Source organism: Homo sapiens, chromosome X (assembly GCF_000001405.40).
Source record: "Homo sapiens chromosome X, GRCh38.p14 Primary Assembly".
In the NCBI taxonomy this organism is placed as follows: Eukaryota; Metazoa; Chordata; class Mammalia; order Primates; family Hominidae; genus Homo; species Homo sapiens.
The window spans coordinates 29,468,139-29,482,698 of NC_000023.11; the positions used below are offsets into that span (position 1 = coordinate 29,468,139).

The window sequence follows — 14,560 nt, forward strand, 5'->3', positions numbered from 1 at the left end:
CGAGAGCCACTACGTCTGGCCAATTCTGCTGTCTTTATTTCTGCTTAATTATTACTTTTAATTTCATTATTTTATTACAAAACTTTAACTTTTTATATTGAATGGTATTATTAATATGGAATTTTGTATTTATAAAGTAAAGATTGAAGGAAGCGTATTTACTGCTAATGGAAAGTATCGCTTACTTTTTCCTTCAAAGCAGGAAAAGCAATGTGCAAACATGTAAGTGAAGGAAAAATCCAACCAAATCTCTTACCCGAGTATCTACATTAATATTGTTTGGTGGGTGAGATATTTCTGCAATTCTGCAGTATTAATCCATCCTTCTTTATTATGTCCACCGAAGGTGTAACACTGATTACAGTATGTTTTAGGGAAAACAATCCTCCTAGGCATAGTGGCGATAATTCTTCGACTTTTTTACTTTGCTGTCTTGGCTCATCACGGTGACCTTTAATTCATTTTCTCTTGTCTGGTCTTCTTTGCAGACACTACGAAGCCACTCTGTGGTGTCTATTGAGCTAAAGTCAATTAATCACAGGGTGACTTTTAAAAAATCAAGATTAATAATAGGTTATTTCATAGCCAGAATGCTTGATTAAGATGGGCACATTTGTGGTTCCCCTCATGGCTAGAAATAATTTAGCCAAGTTACAATATCTTGGGCAAATTTTTCTCTCTTATAATTTTCCCAATGAGAACTGCTCAGTTTAAATGGACTTCCCTAAGCTTCCATCAGGGGTTCTCAGAAGGGTTATACAAAATCACTTTCGTTAGCTACTGGGTACTCCTAAATGGAAGCATCTTTGTAAAGCCATGTAGCATTGGCACCTCTTCACAAAAACTTGGGGGGAGTCCGTGAAAAAAATAACGGGAAGTCTGTCTTTAAAGATAATAACGTCTGCCTCCAACATTTTACACATCTCAGTCATGCCCTGTGGTGGGAGCAAAAGAATTCTCTTTTCTCTTTAGTCTTGTGCCAAATTTTCTTTTCCTGTTGGCCTGAATCCACTAATGTCCTTGGTAGGTGGATCCTGGTGTATTAAAAGATTCATAGCATTTCATATTTATATTCTGCTTAACAATATGATGGTACACCTTAGCAGTTTAGCAAAATGGCAAATCTGTTTGCATAATAAACCATATAATGTGCTGCATCATCAATTTGACTTTGCTGGATGAACGAAGAGAACCAGTTGGCTCTGATGAAGTTGAGTTTTACAGGTCAATGCACCATCCATATTAAGGAAATCCAGGACAACTATGTACATATATATTGTAGCTAGAGGCTGAATACATTTTGTACAATATTTCATTTGCTGTTATAAAAGAAAAAAATATAAGCTTGGGTACAGCTACCATAGAAATCAATTTTTAGGTTTTATATTATTACTGCCTTTCTATTCCCCAGGTGTGCTTTTTCATAGCATCTCCATCCTAAACACAATTGCCTTTGAAGTACCAATATATCTCTTAGTGGATGACAATTTCCAAACTCTACTCAGAAAATACAGTGCAAATCCTGGTATAATATAATGGAACTACCAAGAGTTGTTATGGGGCTACATATTTTCTGTTCTCTACTCTCTTGAGATCTTAGCAAAATCCCTTCTTGGTAACCTTGGCTTATTGAAAAGGGCTAATTTATTTGGCATTAATCAGAAGACATATACCATCTCTCAACTAGACTCTCTCCACAACGTTCCTTTAAAATTTTTAATCTAGTGAAAACAGGGGGTAGCTTTATTCTGTAATAGTAATATGGTTCATGATATGGAGACTGCAGAAAGAAGACTGTAAAGCTGAATTTCACTGCAAGAAAATCGTGACTTCAATACTTCAGGAGAAAATCTTGTTGTTCAGTTTGCTGGAATTAATAGTTATTTTACCTGTCAAACTGTAGTACCATCGAAGTTTCACCAGACTGTCTAGAACAGACTAATTTGAAGAAGTACAATTTCCCAAGTAATGTTTTATTCTGCAGTCCCTCTCTTCAGGGCAACACACCCATGTAGGACCTCTCCCACTGCTAGTTTAGTCATGTGAAAGAGAATACCTCTTGTTGTTGCAAGTTATTTCATCATCATCTTGCTAAAGAAATGTCTCACTCTCCTAAGTCTCCAAGATCTTTTATTGGCCAGATTCCATATAAGGCTTTGTGTTCTACATTTGTGATCTAGGGAATTTAAAGCTTTTCACTTCTAGCTTACCAGAGGCTTCTGTATGTGGTAAATCATACATTGATATAAAAAGTAAATAATAATAATCATAATAATAGTTATGGCTTATGTAACCTATCTTTCTCAATAGTTATTGGACCATGATAAGTGATACCTCAATACCACATACCCCTTCACCCACCATCCACTATCTCTCATACCCTTCATAACCAAGCATCTTTTTTTCTTATACAATTTTATTAATGGAGATACAATTCACATACCATAAATCTACCATTTTATTTATTTTTAAAATACTTTAAGTTTAAAGTTTATTTTATTTAATTTATTTTAGAGATAGGGTCTCACTCTGTCATGGAGACTAGAGTGCACTGGCATGATCATAGCTCATTGCAGCCTCAAACTCCTGGGCCCAAGAGATCCTCCTGCCCCAGCCTCCAGAATAGATGGGACTACAAGTATGCATCGTGTCTGGTTAATTTTTTTATTTCTTGGCATAGACAGGGTCTTCTCTATGTTGCCCACTCTGGTTTTGAACTCCTGGCCTCAAGCAATCCTTTTGCTTTGGTCTCCCAAAGTGCCTGGTTTATTGACATGAGCCACTGTGCCTGGCCTACCATTTTAAATTGTACAATTTATTGTTTTTGATATATTTACAAAGTTATGCAACTATCACTACTGTCTAATTCCAGAACATTTTATCACCCCCAAAACAAACCATGCACCTGTTCACCAAAAAGTGACTGAAGCAGGTATCAATCAATAGAAGTTTATTTACCCAAAGTCGAGAAAGTACCTTGGAAAATATACAAATCACAGGAGCATCTGTGATCTGGGCTTTTTCCAAAGGAGGGGGTGGGGGAACTTCAGTATTTGAAGGGGAAAGAGCAAATAGGAGGGAAAAGAAAGGGAGAGAGGGTAGCCCCTGAGGTAAATGGCTAAATTCTAGTGAGGCTCTGTTTAGCTTCAGTAAATCTACATTTTACATGTGAAAAGAAGAACTAGAGGAAAAAGTCAATTAGGCATTTGTCTCAGGGTAGGCAGAGGGTTGATAAGCTGGCAATTGACATTGTCAGGGTTAGATTTCATAGAACTGGGTTTTAGGGCTAGTATATATAGGAAGGGTATGTATCCTGGAAGATTTAGGTGCTCACGAGGCAATTCCTTGTGAGGGAGGCCATCTGGGGAGACATGTGCCCTTCTATAGTTATGGGAAACTGGCTTAGAGATGAGGCTATGACACGGTGTTGCTGAATTACAGCTATCTGGGAACAAAAAGGAAGGCAGCATTGTGATTCCGTTCCCAAGCTTAACTTTGCCTTTGGCATAGTAAGTTTGGAGTCCCAAGATTCTATTTTCTTTCACATATCCATTAGCAGTCACTCCTCTTTCCCCCTCCCCCTAGGCCCTGGCAAGCACGAATCTACTTTCTGTCTCTATGAATTTGCCCATTTTGAATATTTCATATAAATGGAATCATCCAATATGTGACTTTTTGCGTCTGGTTTCTTTCACTTATCATCAGGATTTCATGGCTCATCCATGAAATGTCTCAGTACTTTATTACCTTTTATAGATGAATAATATTCCATTGGGTATACCAAATTTTGTTATGCACACATCAGTTGATGGAAATTTACAATTGCTTTCATTTTGAGGCTACTATGAATAATGGTGCATAGCCAGTCATCTTGATAGAGTTGTCTATACTCACTTTCTTTTTCTCCTCATTTCCTATTTACTCTTCAGCCTACTCCAGTTTGATTTCTGCTCCAGTCACTTCCCTAAAATGGCTTTCTCTGGTGTCACCAGTGATGGCTATACAACTAAATCCTACCCATTTTTCAGTGTATGTTGCTACCTATATCTCACAGCTCTAATTTGACACTGTAGTGTAGACCATGTCCTGTCTTCCCTTGATATGTATGAAAGTACACTCTTCTGGTTTTCCTCCTGTCACCATGGCTGTTGCTTCTCTGTCTCTTTTGCAGACTCACTTTTTCTCCTTGGCTAGTAAATGTGGGATTTACTCAAGACTGAGTCCTTGGGCACCTTTTCTTTTCACTCACAAGACCCATTCTAGGTAATTTGACCTCCACCTATGCCTTCAACAATCATGTATGTGCTTTTAACTACAAATTTATGTTTATAAGTTAGATTTTGGAACTGTATACCTGTCAAGGCCAGACTAATTTATTTACCCTGAATATATAACCATCTTACATTTTTTTATTTTCTTAGAGGATGATTTCCATTACTCACTCAGCTTGACAAGGCACAACATTTTTAAAAAATCTTTCTGATGGATAATAATCAAATAGTTAACAGCTCTGGACACTGGCTGCCTGGGTTCAGATCCAAAGTCTACACATACTCCCCGTGTGAACTTGGAGAAGTCACTTAACCTTTCTGTGTCTGTTACCTCGTCAGTAAGATGGGTACTTTTCAGGGTTGATGAGATGATAACATGAAATGTAAATACGCTGAAGATTTTAGAATCATGCCTGGCGTGAACTAAATACTTTAAATGTTCACCATTTTCCCTCTGCCTCATCTCCCATCTCTAATTCTTTTCTTTATGTCTAAAGCCAGCCAGACACACAGCTTCCCGGTGCTTTAGATATAAAGGCTAAAATGTGTAGCCTGGCCTGTTGTATTAGCTTCGTAGGGCTGCTATACCAAAATACCACAGACTGGGTGGCTTCAACAATATCAGTTAATTTTCTCACAGTTTTGGAGACTAGAAGTGTGAGATCAAGGTGTTGGTGGGGTTGGTTCTTTTTGAGGGCCATGAGGGAAGGATATGTTCTAGGCTTCTGTCTTTGGCTTGTAGAAAGCCATTGTTATCTTCTTGTTGTGTCTTTTCACATCTTCTTCCCTCTATGTGTGTCTCTTTGTGCAAATTTTTGTTTTATAATAAGGACATGAGTCAGATTAGATTAGAGGCCCACCGTACTCCAGCATGACCTCATCTTAACTAATTACATCTGTAATGACGTTATTTCCAAATAAGATCACATTCTGAGGTACTAGGGGTTAAAGCTGCAATATATAAATTTGAGAGGGATGGGACACAATTCAGCCTGTCACGTTTGGTTAGTCTTCTGCCAGCCTCTCCAGGTACATTTTTACTCTATGCTTTCTCAGCCTCTCAGCTAGCCATCCACACAGTAGCCTTCTTTTAAATGGGCCACAATCTTCCAGCCTTTCCAGACCTCTTTCTAAAAGATATTTCTTCAGCTAGAACACTCTTAATTCCATCTCACTGCCCCGCCCCCCACCCCCCACGACCCCTCAGAACACAGGCCATTTTGCATGGCTTATTTCTGTTCATCATTCAGATTTCAGGTCAAGATCACTTAGTGAGGAATTCTCTCATCTTCTAGGCTGGATCAATTGGATTATGAATCTATCAAAGAATGTAACCCCTAAAGCATTTATCTTGCTTCGTAATTGTACATCCATTACATGTCTTTTTTTCACCCTGCCTATTTCACCCTGAATGATTTGTCTTACCCTTTGATCTACAGATCCTTTTGAGTATATAACAGGAACTCAATCAGTATTTCTTAAATCCAAACATTACTTAAGTATTGCTATTTTGACAAATCAAGATCTTTACTATTCACTGTAAACAGCTACTTTTTTCCCCTCATTTTTAACACCTCATTTCCTCTAATAATATTGCATGTACTTTGACATCCTTTCACTTGACTGCATCCTTTTGCTTGAGGGAAGGTTTAAGAAAGGACGCATTTTTCATCAGGTGTTCTATTCCCAACACAGAAAAGTTGACTGAATAGTTCTTCTTTGTTTGATATTTATAATGTCAACTGATTATTATGTTCAAGGTGATTTCCAAGAATAACAGACAATTAGAGTCAAGCCATGTTTCTGTCCCCTGAAATCCTGAACCTATGTGTGTTGGCTAATGTGTGTCTTTGTATGTACATTTTTACTTACTCTCCAAAAATGTAATTGAATGTGAAATTTTTAACTAGAGCCAGAATTCCGTAGTAGGAATCCCAACTTCTACACTTACTAGCTATGCAACCTGGAGTAAACTGCCTCAGGAAGTAATAGTATTTGCCCTGTAGGGTGATAGTAAAAATTAAAGGAGCTAATATTTGTGTCTGGCACGGGGTATGTTAGGCCATTCTTGTGTTGCTATAAAGAAATACCTGAGGCTGGGTAATTTATAAACAAAAGAGGTTTAATTGGCTCACAGTTCTGCATGCTGTACAAGCATGGCATCAACATCGAAGCTCAAAATCATGGCAAGAAGGTGAAGGAGGAAGCCTGTTTATCGCATGGTCAGAGAGGGAATAAGAGAGAAAGAAGGGAGAGGTCCCAGACTCTTTTAAACAACCAGATCTCATGTGAAACTAACTGAATGAGAAAGAACTCATCACCAAGAGGATGTTGCTAAACTATTCATGAGACATCTGCCCCCATGATCCAATCATCTTTCAGCAGGCCCCACCTCCAACACTGGGAATTACATTTCAACATGAGGTTTGGAGGGAATACACATCCAAACCATATCGGGTAGTAAGCACCAGGTGAGTGTTATCTAGTAGAAGGAGGAGGAGAATACATAGAATTAACAGGACTAGAAGTAGTAATATATGTAAAGAAATATTTCAGCACTTAGAATGACATGGTTTATCCTTTTATATGCCTCACAAGAAAGAAGTCTCTTTTGCTCACCTTTGCATCCTCAGGACATGGCACCATGCCTGTTAGATGCTCCAGAAATATTTGTTACGTGAATATTCATTAATTTATTCTTTCATTTCTTAATTCATTTACAAAGAGTTGCTTTCATTGTTTTAGATTTAGTTGTTTATGCTTATTGTACCAGTGCCTATTTATACTACACTGCAGGTCTGGAAAAATATTACATTTTAAATTTAATTTGGGTGTTGATTTGGACTCACTGAGCCTCTGAATACAAGCCTACTTGAGACAAGTATGTAGGATGTTCATTAGTTCTCAAATACAGTTGATTTATATTTTATAACTTGAAGTACTCCTGCTTTTTAGCATCTATGTGTGAATTAGCATATAAAGATATGAGTAATTGTTTTAATGAAAATTTCACCTCTGCACCACTCTACTGTGACTTTATTGTGAATGCAATTAGGTTTACCATAGCGTTCTCCCTGTGAGCCTGTAGATAAGGCATGGAAAAATTATTTCTTTTACTATAATCCTCCTGCTTAAATATGATAGGAAGGCACCAATGAATCTAATACCATTAATGTTCTCTCTGAACTGAAACTCCTTAAATCATAAAATATCACATAATGTCTTTTTATTAAAATATTGACATTGTTTCAAAATGTGCATTTCAGAGCAAGTTTTATATGCGTTCCTACAACATATGGGCATGTTCTTCATTTGGTCTTTCAATTAACATGATGATTAAGACGAAGCGCTTATTTCTGTTTCTGATGTGTTATGTCCCTACCACTAGTCACGTTTCCTATAATAATTCATCACACGTTATGAAGTTTTTTTTTTTTATGTAGTTTCTTTTAAGCTTTCCTTTAATATATATCTGATGATGGAGACTTACATATAACAGAGAAGTTTTCTTTTGGAAACTTAGCATGACTATATTTTAGTTTCATTAGAAAGAAAGAGAATTAAAGGATGGATTTTTAAGAATAATTCATTGTAGAGTTGCTATACTCAAGTACTGAAGCACTTTAGGACTCATAAGGGCATCCGTGTCTTGCATAATAAAGCAGCCAAGATGGAGTAAAACGTAAAAGCAGACATCGAGGTCATTACCTAATCTGGATGGATTAGCCATCCAGATGCCTGAAGGTCAAGGACTGAACAAGATATCTCAAGGTACCTACAAATTCTATGATTTCATGTTATTAGGCTACTGAGTATAACCAGAGACAAGATGGCCATGTGGTTGGAAATCATGTAGAATTACAGGTTAGCTCATAATAAAGGCAAAAACAATATGTCGGTTAGAAATTTCAAGTATAAGTGAGGCTAAAAGTATTTTGTGAATGGCATCACTCCATCTTTTATAAGATAACCCTATACATTTTTCTCTGTGTACTTCTATTGTAAATGTATAGTTCTATTATCACACTTGCCATTTTACATTATTGTCGTGTATTTATGTGATGTAAATAGTTATAGGTAAGTCTTATTTATCTGTTCTCTGTAGGACCTAGCAGGGTATCTGGTACAGTATGTATCAATAATCATTAGATTAATGAACTAATAAATTAAAAGTGTTATACCCCATTAGTAACAAATGACAAGTCCCAAAATATTATTTTATTCAAAGTATTTGATGCCTTAATATTAACTGATTTGTACAGCCCATTATACATTCCAAGAGGGCAAGGGCAGTATTAAACTGCATCCCTGAACTTAACACGTTACCTGAAACATAGCAGGCACTCAAAAATACTCGAAAAAACAAACCAATAATAGCTTTCATTTATATAGCACTTCCTATGTGCCACACATTGTTCTAGGCACTTTAAATACAGTGACTCATTTACTTTTTACCCATATTCTTTTTTTTTTTTTTTTTTTGAGACGGAGTCTCGCTCTGTCGCCCAGGCCGGACTGCGGACTGCAGTGGCGCAATCTCGGCTCACTGCAAGCTCCGCTTCCCGGGTTCACGCCATTCTCCTGCCTCAGCCTCCCGAGTAGCTGGGACTACAGGCGCCCGCCACCGCGCCCGGCTAATTTTTTGTATTTTTAGTAGAGACGGGGTTTCACCTTGTTAGCCAGGATGGTCTCGATCCCATATTCTTAACTAATACAAAATATGGGCTCTCTACATGGTATAGATCAGCTGTACTTTCAGTAAATCTGTGACTTGATTTGAAAATGGAAAAAATAGGATTCATCTCCTAAGATGTTCTGTGAATATTATATAAGGCAGTGTTTGAAGCATGCTTGGCCTAGCGTCTGGCATAGCAGAAGTTTTCAAGATATTTTTACTATTAAGACTATTATTATTGCTGCTATTATTAACCATCTCCTCCAATAGTTGGCATAAGAGAGGTTATACAATTCAGAAGACAAGAATAGAGAAAGCGAATGCTATTTGTGTCATCAGCTATTTGTTGTGTTTACATTTCTGCCCCTCATCTCTATATCCTCGTAAGCACACTCCATCTTCCAAGTATTCCTAGGTTAGGTGGCATTTAATGGTATGTGTAGACCCTGAAGATTTGATTACATTGAAAACAGCAATAGCTAACACTTCTTTAGTGCATCTCTATGTCAGTCACTCTTTTAAGTACTTTATATATATTAACATAAAAACCCAAAGAGGTAAATGCACTATTATTATCCCCATTTTATAGAAGAGAAACTTGAGATACTGAGTAGTTATGAGAAGTTACGTGACCTGTCCAGGGTCAATAAGCTGGTAAGCAGAGCAGCTGGTAGGTGAACCCAGGCAGTCTGGCTACAAAGTTCCTATGCCATGTTGCTCAGTACATTTAAAACTTCTGTACCAAAAAAATCATAAACAAAATTTTAAAAACAGATGGCAGAGTAGGAAGTTGAATTTAATAGAAAAATATCTATGCAAAATACATAAAGACTTGCAGCAAACCAAAAGAACAAACCACAAGTAATTCACAGAAGAAATACAAATAGTTAAAAATAACCAAACAACCTCACTAGCCTTTAAAGATATGCAAATTAAAACAAGATAATTTTACCCTCACAAGCAAAAATAAAACAGAAAGAAAAGAGAGCAAAACAAAAAAGGAAAGTAAAAATAGGACTTTGTTAGTATTACCTACTCAATGTCTGCTTGGTATCTCCACAGGGATATGCAATAGTTATCATAAGTTTAACACACCCAGAATTGAGCATCTGATTCCCCTTCACACCTGCTCCTTTTACAGACTTCTCTATTTCAGAAAACGTCAGCTCCATTCAACTAGTTGCTTAGGCAAAAATATTTAGAGCCCTCTTTGACTCCTGTCTTCCTCACAACTCACGTGAACCCATGAGCAAATCCTCTCAGCTCCATTTTCAAAATTTATCCAAAATTCTGCCGTGTAGTTCAGCACCTCCACTCTTGCCTCTGTCATCCTGTGGCTGGATGGCTGTGTCCCCCTGTTACATCTCCCCCTGCTTCAGCCCTTGCCCTCCTATAGTCTTCCGTTCAACAGCCAATCGGCCAGTCGTTCCTTTATGTCTCAAGACAGATCATCACTAGTCCCTGGTCAGAACACCCCCAGGGTCTTTCCATCTCACTAAAAGTAAATATAGAGTCCTTATTACCGTGGTCTTGGAGACTCTGCAGACTTAACCCCATCCCCTTCTTTCAGCCCCAACTCCTGCCTCTCTCATCACATTTTCCAGCCCTCTTCTCCCAGGTCCTTCTCTCCACTGCGATGACTGCCTTGATCTTTCTTATAGTTGGTTTCTCATCTGCTTTTTCTCTCTGCCGGGAGTGTTCTTTCTCTTAGAGCTCCATGCAGTTCACATCACTGCCTCCCCGTCTCAGGTCACCGCCTGAGTAGAGCTCCCCCTACTGACTGTTCCTGAAGATAGCATCCTGTCCTCACACCCTTCACTGTCCGCCATTCCCTGCATTATTTTGCTTCATCCTACTTAATATTTTATATATTAAATTGTTAATTTGTTTATTCTCTTCTTACCCCTTAAACTCCTTCATTGACTATAATATCTGAAAGCAGAAGTTTTTTTTTTTCTTTTTCTCTGTCTCTCACTAATGCATTCCTAGCATTAGCCCTTAGCATGTAGTATCTTTTAAATGAACAAAAGAATATTCAGCATCAGCTGGGCTCTGTGGCTCACGTCTGTAATCCCAGCACTTGGAGAGGCCAAGGTGGGACAATCACTTGAGCCCAGGAGTTTGAGACTAGCCTAGGCAACATAGGGAGACCATGTCTCTACGAAATACAAATAAAAATAATTAGCAGGTGTGGTGGCACGTGCCTTGTGGTCCCAGCTACTCGGGAGGCTGAAGTGGGAGGATCGCTTGAGCCTGGGAGGCAGAGGTAGCAGTGAGTCATGGTTGCGTCACTGCACTCCAGCCTGGGTGACAGAGCGAGACCCTGTCTCAAAAAAAAAAAAAAAAATTAGCATTGTAAGTGTTGCAAAATGTATAGGAAAGTAAATTTTCACAACTTTCTTGGAGGATTATTTGACACTACCTATAGCAATTTATTTATTTATTTTTAAGTTTCAATAGTTTGAGAGGTACAGGTTTTTTTTGGTTACAAGGATTAGTTCCATAGTGGTGAATTCTGAAATTTTAGTGCACCCATCACCTGCGCAGTGTACGCTATAATGTAGTCTTTTATCCCTCACCCGCCTCCCAACGTTCCCCCCCAGTCCCCAGAGTCCATTATATCACTCTGTGTGTCTTTGCATCCTCATAGCTTAGCTCCCACCTATAAGTGAGAACATATGGTATTTGGTTTTCCATTCCTGAGTTACATCACTTAGAATAATGGCCTCCAGCTCCATCCAAGTTGCTGCAAAAGACACTATTTCATTCCTTTTTATGGCTAAGTAGTATTCCATGGTGTATATATACCGCATTTTCTTTATTCACTCGCTGGCCCATGGGCACTTAAGTTGGTTCTATATCTTTGCAATTGCGAATTGTGCTGCTATAAACATGCACATGCATGTGTCTTTTTCATATAATGACTTTTTTTTTTCCTTTGGGTAGACACTTTTACCCCTCTCTTGTTTGGCTTCAAGCCAACAACTTCACAGAAATCAATCTTTCTTTGTCCTCGTATGTTCCCTCAATCCCTAACAAATGTTCGATGACCACTTCTTGTCCAAATTCAATGGCTTTATTGCTGTTCTATATATTTCTGACCATAAAACTCCATTTAGTACTGTCAATATCAATATTTACTTTTGGGGGCAATAAATTAGACAGTTTATTAATTGAAGCATGATATATGTATACACACACATATACATATATATATATATATATATATATATGCATACCTTTGAATGGATCTATTTATGTACAAACTACCAATGGAATTTGGACTCACAACATCGGTTATAACCAAAAGAATGTGCCATCTTGGCCTGATCTACCCCTCCTCTTTTGATATCCTTCTATGCCTATTCTTATTAAAAAGAATAAAATTGTTTTAAAAGAAAGACAATTCCACTCATTATATCACTTAATGTAATCCTTGTGTTGGCACTTTTGCCTTTCATTGATATAGTTTCAACCATAATAATATATGTAATGAAAGTTTCAAACTTTTCAGAACTGCCTATTTTTGGCGGGGAGAGGTAATGTGTACTAAAGGTAATCCATATTTTATGTAAAAAGTAAACACAAAGAAGTAAAAATCAGTTGCAATCTCATCATCTCTACACATCTCTTATTAGTTTGATGTTTATTATCTCCTTTTTTCCATTTTTTCATCTAATGGAGTCTGTTTTACAAGCTGATTTTTTATATAGTACATAATAGTTAATGTTATTAACATAATAGTTTGCTATTATGTATACTTTCATGCTATCATTTTATGGCTGAATGAAAATGCCATTTTTAACCTTGAAAAAAATCTTTTACTTGTTCTAGCAGCTTTCTTAGTTATGTTTTCTTTATTGCAAAAGTAAATATTAATAGCATCCATCCTTAATACAAATTATACTTGGTGACTCAGTCAATTTAATATATAATCCAATTTTAAATTTTGTTGTTGTTGAATTATTAGATGTTTAATGATAAATAACAAACTAAAATATTCTAAAATCAGCCAATAATTTAAGTTTGTCTTTACATTCTCTGCTTCATTTGGCTAAAATGAATACATCTTTAAAATGACTAGATAAAATGATAGTCATTTGTCAATTAATGATAACCTTTGAGGCTTAGTATAGAAGATATATTGACAAATGGGAGGCATGTGCCAAAGCTTTTTGCATTAATTGCATCAGTATGATAACTTTAGTCACTACGGTTCCTTCAAAATGTATTCACATAGGCCAACAAACCTTCAGTCATTTTAAAAAAGCAGTAGCATCTAATAGTCCAAGGCAATAGCAATCCATGCACTTCTGTGACAGAGAGGGTGTTTCAAGAATTTTGGCAAAGACTCACACTTGAGGACCAAGGCACTAAAGGTATTCTAAGCTCAGAGAGCCAACGGCCATTGCCTGCTTAGCTGAAATGAGGTGCTGGTGTGGAGAATCTGCCCTAGGTTGTATAAGCCTTGCACAGCCTGCTTCAAAAGAGAGAACTGGAGGAGATCTAGAGGTGTTCTGAGGGATGTGGTGTTATAAAGAGAGTCCATTTTAACTCTGCCTCACCCCTTTGTGGGCAGAGCTGTTAAATGGCCTGGTTGCTCCTGTTTTTCCTGCCTCGTGGAAACTAACCACCACTTAAGAAGTGCAACTACCCTGATGTGAGAAGTCTACTTGCATGGTCATGACAGAAGATAACTAAATCACAACATCTTTGTAAATTATCACATCATGGCCTCTAACTATAGGTTGGTGCAAATGTAATTGAGGTTTTTGCCATTGGAAGTAATGGCAAAGTAATATTTGCAGGCAAATTGACTCACAAAAGGCTGGGCTTCTGGGACACAGGAACAATTAAATGAAGAGGGAGGAAAAGGAAAACATTTATATGTATATGCTTCACCTTTTTAAAAAACAACCGAGAATTTGTTAACATTCATATTATACTTTTAAAGCATTTTAATTTTTCCTATTCTATAATACCTGAAGGATATGGAACAATTACACATAAACATACAGAAAATTAGTTTAAAAAACCATCCATGTTCCTTCTACTCATCATTAACCACTATGAACTTGGAATATAACCTTCAAGGCATCTTTCTGTTCAATTTATGTAAATATGTCTGATTATACACAGGTGATTAGCACAGAGGCAGCATAACATATTAATGAAGACCAAAGCTCTCAAGACCTATTGTTCAGGTTCAAGTCTCAGCATCCTCTCCCCCACCATCCCTTACCAGCTGTGTGACCTTGATTCATTTTCTTAACCTCCCTGTATCTTATACATATGGGTATGATACTGGTGTTTACTAATCATGGGGTTGTTATGAGGATATTTAATCACTTAGACTTAAGCTTTCTAAAGAACTTAAAATGTTCCTGGTACATAGTATGCACAAAGTTAGTGTTTATTAAATAGAATAATTACATTTCAAAAGAAAAATCAAAGAATAGGATAAACAGTATTTTAAAACATGCTTTCTTAAGAATGTGGAATAAACATTCCTCATCAGTAAATACACATCTATGCTATTGATTTTTAAAAGCTGCATAGAATTTCATTTTGTGGATAAAGCATAGTTCCTGATTTTCATACATTTATGTCATTC

The 14,560-nt window shown here is 37.1% G+C and overlaps 1 protein-coding gene across 3 annotated transcripts in view, besides 1 other annotated feature; it reads left to right on the top strand.

The window, feature by feature from the left end:
- The window catches only part of IL1RAPL1 (interleukin 1 receptor accessory protein like 1), a 1,369,273-nt gene that overhangs the window by 880,693 nt on the left and 474,020 nt on the right, over positions 1 to 14,560 (top strand). The window lies entirely within an intron of this gene.
- Positions 10,651 to 10,810: a silencer, noted in NCBI's record as "silent region_20722". NCBI's record gives its function as "represses an Ori minimal core promoter by ATAC-STARR-seq in GM12878 lymphoblastoid cells {active_cell/tissue: GM12878}" and the evidence as "EXISTENCE:reporter gene assay evidence [ECO:0000049][PMID:35858748]".